This window comes from Homo sapiens, chromosome 13 (assembly GCF_000001405.40).
Source record: "Homo sapiens chromosome 13, GRCh38.p14 Primary Assembly".
In the NCBI taxonomy this organism is placed as follows: Eukaryota; Metazoa; Chordata; class Mammalia; order Primates; family Hominidae; genus Homo; species Homo sapiens.
The window spans coordinates 38,783,247-38,795,392 of NC_000013.11; the positions used below are offsets into that span (position 1 = coordinate 38,783,247).

At 35.3% G+C, this 12,146-nt stretch overlaps 1 protein-coding gene across 2 annotated transcripts in view; it reads left to right on the forward strand.

The window, feature by feature from the left end:
* FREM2 (FRAS1 related extracellular matrix 2) overlaps positions 1-12,146 on the forward strand; it is a 200,055-nt gene that overhangs the window by 96,170 nt on the left and 91,739 nt on the right. For both annotated transcript variants that reach the window (XR_941571.3, NM_207361.6), the window contains exon 6: positions 1,311-1,562. Coding sequence is in view for 1 of the 2 variants with exons in the window: in NM_207361.6 (NP_997244.4) it covers positions 1,311-1,562 (252 nt within the window). In the remaining variant the exon portion in view is untranslated. The remainder of the gene's footprint in view (positions 1-1,310; positions 1,563-12,146) is intronic.

Genomic DNA, 12,146 nt, shown 5'->3' on the forward strand with positions numbered 1-12,146 from the left:
CCTTTTTAACATATTGGAGCCATAACATTTTACCATGAGGGGTATACTTTATTAATTTTCCATAGATACAGAAAAGGATTTATTTAGAAGTCTTTCTTCAGGATTTCACCTTTGACGAGTCCTCTTTCTGATTTCACTTGGTCACTTACTGCAATACTCAAGGCTTTTTGGATTGTAAGGAACTAAAGCCCAACCCAGCCTGCTCAAGTAGAAATGGGTTACTATATAAAAAAAAAAAAAAAAAAAAAGAGGCAAAGTGATGCGTGCCCAAGGAAAAGAAACTAATTTAAAACCAGTTTGCAACTCATTTCAAAGAAATATCAAAATGTTTGTTTTGCTCATGAGCAAATATCCTATGGAAGGTGATTTTATATAATAAAAAATTAAAATTAATACATAATATTCACTAATATACTAAACACCTTTCTAGGAAATAAGTAGATTTTCTAAAAATGCAAAATCAAAAGTTATATATGCTGATATCAGAGTAGACTTTTGTTAAAATTTTCATTCGTAGGTATATGATTTGAAAGGCAGTACAGAAGAGTGATTAAAAGCCGACTTCAGAGGCCGGGCTCAGTGGCTCATGCCTGTAATCCCAGCACTTTGGGAGGCCGAGGCGGGTGGATCACGAGATCAGGAGTTCACGACCAGTCTGATCAACATGGTGAAACCCTGCCTCTACTAAAAATACAAAAATTAACTGGGCATGGTGGCGCGCACGCGCCTGTAATCTCAGCTACTCAGGAGGCTGAGGCAGAAGAGTTGCTTGAACCCAGGAGGCGGAGGTTGCAGCGAGCCAAGATCACGCCATTGCATTCCGGCCTGGGCAACAGAGCGAAACTCAGTCTCAAAAAAAAAGCTGACTTCAGGACCAGCCTTGGACTCCGGGGTCCAGACCAAGTGGTTCAACTTCTGAAAACCTCAGTTACCAAATGTGTAAAGCCAGGTGGAGTGGTTGAGAGGATTAAGGAGACAAGTATTTGAAGCACTTGGCACTTTGCCTGTGCATAGTAAGCTTTAGAATAGTAGGGGCTATTAATTTGTAACATTGTGTTGATCTAAAGTCCATTGACAGGAAAGTCAGGAGTGAACACTTGAAATGTAATATTCCTTATAGGTGTATAGGTTTGAGGTCACTCTCAAGTTGACTCATGATACTAGAACAGTACGTAGTTGCTATTGCAGTTCTAGGGGTGTTCATGTCTACTAACTGACCATTAAAATGCTGTGTATGAAAATAATTGTGTCTGGAAATATCTTTGTCTTATGTTCTACATAAAAATCTTTTGAATTCTCTCTGCTTCCAGGAACAGCAACTGGAACTGTGCCGACTTCCGTGTTGTCTTACTCTGATTACATATCCAGGCCTGAGGACCACACCAGTGTTGTCCGCTTTGACAAAGATGAACGGGAGAAACTGTGTCGGATAGTCATAATTGATGACTCTTTGTACGAGGAGGAGGAAACCTTCCATGTCCTTCTGAGCATGCCCATGGGGGGAAGAATCGGATCAGAGTTCCCAGGGGCTCAAGTTACAATCGTTCCTGACAAAGATGATGGTGAGTACTAATTTACTTGAAAATTCTTTTTCCCGGGAAGATCAACATCAGGAACAACTTTCTAGACAGAAAAAATGGGAATCTAAAACAATGATAATATACACATTTATTTTATGTTTGGTTTTTTCATATGATTAGGTTTCAAAGTTGGCTGCATCTGTCGGTTTGTCTTCCTTGATTTAATGTTTTTAAAGGGCAAAAGTCACAATTATGTGAGTTTTTTCCGCTGCGCCGTTTCTTTCACCAAGCCCTGTACCATCAGGTGATTAAACTTTTGACATTTCATGGTGAAGAATTGAAATCTAATTTATTTCCTTCTTGGTTTTTTGTTTTGTTTTGCTTTTAAAAGCTTATATTTTGTAACTTTAATCTCAGTGTTTGAAACTGTTTTTTCAAAGAAACCTGTCGGGCAAGGCTGTTAAATGAATAACTAGTAAACATAGGGAAAATTAAGTCCAACAAGCCACTCTGCCCCAAAACAGGAGGGAGAGAATATCCTAGATCATTCTTCCCCAGAGAAACTAAATTGCCATGAAGTAGAAATAGAGAAGGGAGCAAAAGGATCTTAATCTCCCCAGTTCAAGAAACAGTTTGTATTTTTTTGTGTGGATACAGAGAGCAAACGGAAATATTGTGAATACTCTTGTAAGTAAAGCAGAGAGCAGTAAACTGAGAGATGGGACACCCTAACCCTGGGCTGGTTTTCTTTCCCCCTTGAAATTTTCCTCCTGGTAGATGAAAGAGGAAGAAACTGGGGGATAAATCTTTCGGTTTGGAAAGAAGCTGGAAGACAGTCAAAAGACCAAACTGAGGAAGCTGAAAATAATCTACCAGGAAAGGTCTTTGATAGTTAAATGGCAAAGCATGTGAGAGGTGAAGGTGATAATGTGTCTTGTGAGGTTATACTCTGTGCCAGGCATGGTACTGGCTCCTCTGTACATTCTTTTAAAAAGACCTTTGCATAGGTTTATTGGATCTTTGTATTTCTTTGAATTGTCTATATACAAATTGATTTTCTTACTGATTTATAGTAGCTGTGAGAATAATAGGTATTTTACCTTTTACTGTATGTTGTTAAAATTTCTTCTAGTTTCTGCCATTTGTTTTTGGTTTATTTTGTTTTTCAAATTGACAAATAATTATGCATATTCATAGGGTACATAATGATGTTTAGACACATATAAAATATAGTGGTCAGATCAGCATAATTAGCATGTCCATCATGTCAAACATGTATCATTTCTTTGTGTTGGGAATTATCAACATCCTTGTAGCTAGCTGAAGCTATGTAATGTATTATTGTTAACTAGAGTCACCCTACAGTGGTATAGAAAACCAGAGCTTGCTCCTCTTATCTAGCTGTAATTTTGTGTCCTTTAACTAATCTTCCCCCATATCCCCCATCTTTCCTCCCTTCCCAGCTTCTGCTACCTTTGTGTATCATTGTGCTTTATCATCCTAACAATTCTGTAGAATCCATAACAACATCTGTGTTTTTACTGAAAATGTTTGAAAACACGAAAAATTAGAAATTATTTTATCAAGAGGTATTGAAAGTCTTGATTCTACCTTAAATTTATATAATACCCTATAAGTATAAGCTGCTCTAATATTTTTAACTGCTGCCTTAATTGATCAGTGTAATAAGAAGTTCTATTCTGATTTAAATAAAGTACAGAAATTTTATTTTAACTTTAATTTATCTTAAAGAAAGAGCAATATTTTGAATATCATTTCAGAAAAATCTAATAGCCCATGCTAAATGCCTATCTGCTCTTTAGATAATCTATCAATTGTTACAGGTAGAAAGAAGTAGGTTTAATTTAAAAAAAGAAAATGTAATTCATGTTTACTTTAGTTCAGTTTGTTTTTTTTGGCAAAAAAATCTTTCCTGTATGGATTGCTATGGGATGCACATGCAGAAAAAAACATAAAAGTACAGAAAAAAACATTTATTAAGTGCCAGGCATTTTCACAAATGTATCTCTAAATCTGCAAAATGAAAGATGATGCCATTATCCCTATTTTACAGATGACAAGACTGAGACTTAGAGAGACTAGTTGATTAACTTGAACTTACGAAGCTAGTATACAGCAAAGTCAGTATCATGGCCCCCAAATCATGACCTTTCCATGTTATTACTCCACCTTTAAAACGTGTCTCTAGTGGTAATGAGGTTGAGGAACCATTGGTATGGTCCTATCATATAATATTCATAGAACATTTTACTATTGTCAGTGTCTTATCAGAGCTTCACAATTCACTGATGTAGACAGGGCAAGTGGCATTATAAGTGGGGTAGCGAAAGCCCAGAAAATTATTTACCCCAGAACACAGGGCTGGTAAATTTGGGTGCCATGGACTTTGATTTTGAGGCAACTGAGTACCATGCAGACATTAGACCAGCAGTTTGTCAGGAATGCTCTTGGTGATTATTGCCATTGCTTCTTCATTCACTCAACCACTATTCAATAAATCAAAAGTCCTATGCATACTGCTCTGTTTTCTCCCATCTGTCATTTACCTTCCACTTCTAACATCACTACTATAGTTTAGACAGATCCTTTTCATCTCAGATGCAGATTATAATAAACTTCTCACAGTTCCCACAGCCTCATATCTCTTCCTACCCACACCTTGGTTTCCATTGCCACCAATTTAACCTTTCCTAACCTCCTCCCACACCTTTTCTCAGCACAAAACCCAAAAATGTTGACAGCAAACTTTGCCATCGTCAGGAAGATAGATAGGCACCTTCCACTTTCCCCAATCAAAAGCCAGTAATGCTCTAAAAAGAAAAAAATAAGTAAGTGTGGTTTAATCTCTTCTGGTAGTGTAATGATTGAGAAATCTATAAAGATTAAAGTTATTTCCTAATTAACTTATTTATTATTTATTAATGTTATTTATTAAGTTTATTATTGTTATTTATTAATGTTATTATTTATTATTTATTATTATTTATTAATTTAGCAATATTTATTAATGTTATTCAACGAATATTGCAATTATTTTCTTAAAAATGCAATGGTCAGTCCAGTCACAGAATAAGGAAAAGAAGAAAGAAAAGAGGAGGAACAAAGGAGGTGGCACAGGGAGGATGGGTCTCATGAGAGCAAATCAAAGACAGATTGATGAGTAAGAACAGGACAAACCAAGAAATTAAGAGAGAAAATGACAGCACATCATATCTAAAGAAGAAAGAAAAGGACAGTACTGAAAAGAGGAGATGAGATAAGCCCATTAGGGCCTCTACTGTGGGTAAACCACGTCTTTCATATCCTGGCACTCATTTAGAGGGTTATTTTCTTTCTTTACAGTTACTTGAAATAGCACTAGCAAAATAAACCCAGTTTACAGCTCTTTGAGTGCTATATTTTCAAGTCTTCAGAAGCTTGCAGTGAGATCATTATGACCTACCAGAAGGAATTATTCCTTAGACTGCTTAACATAGCAGATGGCACAAGCTCACCTTGAGGCTTAATCTTCACCCTGAGAGTAAAGTTGCAGTTATCCAGTTTAGTATTCCATTGAATAAGAAATTTAATAAGAAATAAGTTTGGGATGGTTTATCTATTAATACTGTACCTTATCCACTGCTGCGTCCCCACAGAATCCTTTTGGTTGAGTCTTTCAGAGACCACCTTACTGACTAAATGATGATTTATAGCACTTCAGTGAAAAATACTTTCAGAAGATCTTCTGTTACTTAAGAAATGGCTGCGATATCAAATGTCAACACTTTATAGAATTGACAATATTGACTTACGGTCCCTAGGACCTGCACTTAGAGCTCAATCATTTCTTTTCATTCACTTATCACAGTTTGTCTTTTCTTTGATAATTCTCAACGTCATTTTACATATTTATTTTGTCATATTGTGCCCTTTAGTATAATGTTGGATGGAAGCAGTAGAGCAGGCATTTTTGTCTTTTTCTCATTGAAAAGGAAAATATTATAATGGTCCCCCATTTAGAATAATGTATACTATAAGATTCTAGTAACATTTTATCAGGTTAAGAAAACATTTAGTTTGAGAAGAGATTTTATCAGGAATAAGTATTAAACATTTTAAAAATTTCTGCATTTATTGAACGTATTACATAATCTTTTCCTTCAATCTGTTAGTGTAATGAATTGCATTTTTAGATTTACTAGTGTTAAGCCACCCATATATGCTTGAAGAAACTTACTTGTTCATGATGTAATTTTATAAATTGCTGGATTAAATTTAAGAATATTTCATTTTAGTATTTTTGCATGTATATGGGGCTTTAAATCTGTTTATTTTTAGAATCAAGTTTATAATGGCCTCATTAATTGAGTTGAGGTACTATCTTCCTTCTTTAATCTGTAAACTTCAAATAAGATTGACATAATTTAATTTTGTAGGTTTGGTAAAATTATAAATCTGCCTGTATGTATGTAGCTAGATTTTGGCCTATTGTTTGGCTTCCTTAAATGGTTATTTCTTCTTAAGTTTTATTAATGTATTTTTTCCTAAGAAAGTTGTGTATATTATCTACATTTTCAAAATAATACTGTAAATTAATTATATTATCATAAAATTCTTAAAAGTCTCTATTGCATGTCTATTTATGTATCCATTTTATTACTAATAATGTTCTTCTATCCTCTCTCTCTCTGTCTGTCTCTTTTCCTTTTCTCTTTCAATTTATCTTTCCAGAAGTTTGTATATTTTATTCAAGTTTTTTTTTAAAAAAAGCTATGTTTGGTTCTGACTTTTCAAAAAAAAAGAATAGAAATTTTTGGAAATTTCTATTCTTTTTATTTTCTATTTCATTAATTTCTGTTTTTGCCTCAGACTTACCTTCCAGTTGGCTAATTCTCTCTATATCTATTTGCTACTTAACTCATCCACTGAGATTTATTTTGATAACTATATTTGCATTTTGAGAAGATCTGTGTGGAGTTTTTTTATATTTATCTTTGACTTTCTATCATGCTTTATTTTTTCTTCATATAGTTTCTTTTTTATATATTTAATAATTTAGATATTTATTTTATAATCTTTGTTGCAGTTTTATTATTGAAGATCTAAGGTCCAGATCTTATGTTTTTCGCTTCAACTGCTTCTTGTTCATGGTATATTACTTCCTTGCATATAATAATTTTGTCTTATGAATTGACTTTCAATGAGATTTTATATGTAGAAAGCCTATACAATCCTAGTTCAGGGATTAAACCCTGAGAGTAGTTTTGCTTTTATATTTGCTAGGGTCGATTTCTATGTTATGTTTTCTTTTTTAATTTGAGGAGTTCCAGTGCCAAATAATGTGAATTAGGACTCCAAATCTGTGTATTAGAGAGGCCTATTGAGACATTTTTTCCCCGTCCAGAATTTAGGCAGAAACAACAAGCTCCATAAGAGGATGGGTTTTTATTCTAACTCACACATCTCCTCTGGTATCCAGACTTTATTCGTGGGGTTTCAGTTTCAAATTTCCACTTTACATCACCTGTTCCTGTGTGGGCAGTCAAATGCAACCCACTCAGGACAGCCACAGTATTAGCTCATTTAGCTAGTACTCTATTTTTTTTTCAATTCTGTCTTGTGAGAGTATTTCTTACTTTATTGTAAAACCTCCATTTAAAAGAGTTTCTATTATATTTGCAGAGTTTGTGAGAGGAAGGTTTTCAAGTATATCCTTCAAAATATTGCTGTTATAATTCACTAGAAAAGCTTTTATTGAGTGAAAATAACATGTGTCCAGAAGTGTTTTCTGCATTGGTGCTTATGGACTACTCTTCTAATACTAAATTGCCATTTGTACCATCAGTTCTCATGTCAGGAATACCATGGCTGAGTCAAAGATGGGGCAACTAAACTTTTTATTAGGTTGGTACAAAAGTAATTGCGGTTTTGGCCATTGAAGGTAATGGCAAAAATAGCAATTACTTTTGCATCAATCTAATATTTTGTGAGACAAATGCTCTTAAAAGCTTTAATTTCTAGACATGACCTTTTTGGCAAAGTGATTTAATTATTATGCAAATCCCGTTTTTCTTTTATTGTACTGAAACTTATCCAAGTCAAGCCCAAAATAGATTATTTGAAGTCTTATTTTAATTAATCCCATTGTATTGTTTCCCACAATGCATTATTCACATAGACAAAATCTCACCATTAAGGTGTCAGTGGGCACAGAAAATTACCATTATAAACCAAATTCCCATGTGAAAAGGACAAGAGCACTTGGCAAAGCAGGAAAAATTGGGCGATGACTGAAACAGCTTACTTCTCATAGATCATCAAGGATTGCTAGTGACTGAGATTCAATGAAGGGGGAAAGTCAACAAATTTAATTTGGAACCAGTGAATAAAATAGATGCAGTACTTCTTCAACAGCACATTTAAAAATATATGTTTTAATATAAAGCATCTGAAAAACTCTTCGTCGATATGCTTTTTTGGTGTCTCAGTTGAAAAGAGTCTAGGCCAGGATTTGTTCAAGTGAGAGCATCAAGGAACTCAGTTTCCACGTGTGAATTTGCTGCTTAAAAGTCTCTCATGTATCTTGATTATTCACCCCTTTCTTACCTTGGCCACCATCCCTAAAAGTGCATGTATGAAGAATAAAGCAAAAGTACAAAAAGCATTGTATTAGTCAGTTCTCACGCTGCTGTGAAGAAATACCTGAAAATGGATAATTTATAAAGAAGAGAGGTTTAATTGACTCACAGTTCCACATGCCCGGGAAGGCCTCAGGAAACTTACAATCATGGCAGAAGGCAGCTCCTCCTGGGGCAGCAGGAGAGAGTGAGAGCCAAGCAAAGGGGAAACCCCTTATAAAACCATCAGCTCTGAGAACTCACTCACTATCACAAGAACAGTATAGGGGAACTGCCCCCATGATTCAATGATCTCCACCTGGTCCTGCCCTTGTCACATGGGGATTATTACAATTCAAGGTGAGATTTGCATGGGGACACAGAGCCAAGCCATATCAAGCACAGAAGCCAAAAGCAACATATTTATTTCATTTGGCTTCTATCTTACCACTTCCTTGACTTTCAATGCCAGAAAGTATTTTAAAGTAAAGAGTGAGTGCACTTTGCCAGTAGTATATTTCCTCCCTCATGTCTTCATCTACTTTTATCATACTGTAGCAAACCCTATTTTTTGTCATTTAATGGGAAGTCCTTATTGTTTGTCATTGGAAATCACTACATCTACCATATACTTAACACAAATAATACAAAGATAACCATGAAAACAAAAATGTCCCTTTAGGCCAGATGCAGTGGCTCATGCCTGTAACCCCAGCACTTTGGGAGGCTGAGGCAGGCAGATCACTTGAGGTCAGGAGTTTGAGACCAGCCTGACCAACATGGTGAAACTGCATCTCTACTAAAAATACAAAAAACTTAGCCGGGTGTGGTGGCACGTGCCTGTAATCCCAGCTACTCAGGAGGCTGAGGCAGGAGAATTGCTTGAACCTGGGAGGCGGAGGTTGCAGTGAGCTGAGATCACACCACTGCACTCCAGCCTGGGCAACAAGCAAGACTCGGTCTCAAAAAATATATTTTAAAAAAGTCCCTTCAATTTTTCCATGAATCAAAATGTCTCTGGAGTGTATACAATTGTCCTCTCCTTGTCAGCAGTTTCCCTTTTCATGGTATTAGTTACCTGCAGTACAGAACAATAAGATATTTTGAGAGACAGAGACCACATTTACATAACTTTTATTTTAATATGTTGTTATAATTATTCTATGTTATTTATTATTGTTGTTAATCTCTTACTATGCCAAATTTATAAATTAAACCTTATTATATGTATGTATTTATTAGTATTTACAGGGTTTGGTACTATCTGTGTCTTCAGTCATCCACTTGGGCGTCTTAAAATGTATCCTCCACAGATAAGGGGAAACTACTACATTTGCAACTATAGGCAGCTAATATTCACTCATTTATGCAAAGCACTTTGATTTGGGATTTTTTTTTAATCATTCGATTTTCATTGCAGTACTGTAATGTGGGAGGCACTATAGCAAGGTTTTTAAGGATAAGATAAAACAAAGTAGACAATAAATTTACCTGAAATCAAATGATTAAGTATAAGCAAATACAGTGGTGCCCTCCATTTGAAATAAATTCACACTGTGAAGTTTTTGACTTAATAATGTACCGCACAAATTTTTTCTTTGAAAGAAGAAACCTGCCACTTGAAAGATTTCCTAGTTGGAGTAAATCATGAGATGGAATCTAGATAATGTTGAATTGCAGTTTAATAAATTTTTATTTTACAATAAATATTTTTTGAGAATTTTATATCACTCATTCATTCAAAAACTGTGAATTGAGCACCTGTGTGCCTGCACATGGCTAGGTGCTGGGGACATAACAGCAAACAAGAGAACCATGGCCTCTTAATTCATGGACCTTCCAGACTTTGGGGGTACACAGATAAGTGAACAGACAAGCATAAAATAAATGTGGTAAGTTCTCTACTAAGACAAGAACACCTTTCCCAAACCAGGTTCAGGAAAAACTTCTTTAAAAATGTTATTTTCTAGCTGAACTTTGAGGATGATATCAAGGTATCCCAGTGAAGAGAGAAGGAAAGTGTGTTTCTGGAGTGAGAAATTCACAAGTGCACTGGCTAAGTGGATGGGATGCCTCCGTGGAACTGAAAGCTTGGATACAGCAAAAAACTAGAGCTCAAATGAGTGAATAACAAGAGTTTGGAGAGGTGGGCGAGGAGTCAATCTTATAGGGCCCTGTGGCCATATAAAAGAGTTGTGTTTCATTCTTGCAATAGAAATAGGTGACACCTAAAAGGTTTTAGGTAAAATGACAAAATTAGATTTATATTTTAGAAATATCACTCTGCTCTGGCTGCAATGCAAAGAAAAGATTGAAGAGCTCAGGTGGCTGTTGGAGCAACACAGGTGATCGGTGACAGTGGCCTGAACAGGGTGGTTGTATGAGGATGCAGAGACCAGGAGGCATCTGAGAGATAGTGCTGAGGAAGAATGGGCATGTCATGGTAATTGATTGGACAGGAAAGTCTGAAGGATGATGCTTTGGTTTCTAGTTAGAGCTGTTGGGTTAAGAGTGGTACAGTTCACTGAGATGGGGAGAATAAAGGTAGAATGGGCTTAGGAATAAAAAACAATGAATTTATTTAAGGCATGCTAGTACGAAAGAAATGCCTGCTTGACTTCAAATGCGGGATATCAAATAGGCAACTGAAGATATAGGCCTGATTAGGAATTCTGCACTAGACCATTCTGTGCTAGAGGCATTGTGACAAGCTCTCTCTATGGATAATGATAAAAATCTTAGGAAAAGATAAAATTACTTAAGAGACCTGCAAAAGTGGACCTAGTATGATTTATAATATGGATGGATTTACACTAATTCTCATTTAAAGGAAAGGAATAGATTTCATGAATGCTAAACAGAAGATGACAAATGATAAATAGAATAGTCAGTATTAAGGGTATGACCATCCCAGCAAAGAAGGTGCTAAAAAGAATCTAAGAACCAAACACATCTCAGTGTCTGAGTTTAATAAAACATGCCTAACTCTGCACTATTCAGCATGTGACAAGCTATGTCATTGTTTATTCCTGTTGCTTACTAAAAGATTTTAACCAGCTTATTTTGTGTATTTTTCTTTACCACGTGCAAATATTTCACCAATTTTTGAAATAATAGGAAAGATTAACTTTATTTTAGAGGAATTTGCTTTTTGACCATCTTTGTTGGTATACTTCTTATCTTACTAGCTTTTTGGTCAAATTTTATTAATGTCTAAGCTTCAGTTTCCATGGGTTTGAAATGGGGATACTAGTTTTACCTGTGTATTCTTCGTTTTTTTTTAATAAATTGATATCTTGATGTTTTATCTGTCATGCATATTGTTTATACATGATAAAAACATTGCTAGCTATACAGTACTGTGTGTGCAGTTTTATCAGTTCAGCATGGAGAGAAGAATGCCCAGTTCAATGGGGAGAAAGTCAAATTTCATTCATATGCAATACTACACATACAATACTAACAGCTGCCACTTTTGACCACTTTACTATATACTAAGGACTTTACATGAATAATCCAGTTAAACCTCAAAGCAACTTTATGATATAGGTATAAGTATCTTCTCCATTTGATAGATGGAAAAATTGAGACCTGGAGAAAATTACTTAAGATCACACAAATGTTAAGTGTTGAATATATGTCCTAAATTTAGGTCTGCTTACCTCAGATAACATGTGCATTACCACTAGGCTGTAATGAATCCTGAATCTCCTCAAAAGGATTAAAATATAAGTATTACCTAATGATCTCACTGAAGGGAGGAAATTGGCATGGAATCCGGAAAAAAATGGTCCAAAAACATATAGGTCAACATTGGTCAAGAAGGAGATGTTTCTGAGGGTAGCCAATATTGCAGTCACTAAAAATTTGCAGTTGGAGTAGGGAAAATGTTCAAGCCTGTTGTACACCCTGGATGAGGTGTCCTATATGGCTTTCCAACATATTTTTTTTTTTCTGATTGCTGTGTTCTTTTCTGGTAGTGGGTATACTAGATGAGGAATCAACCAAA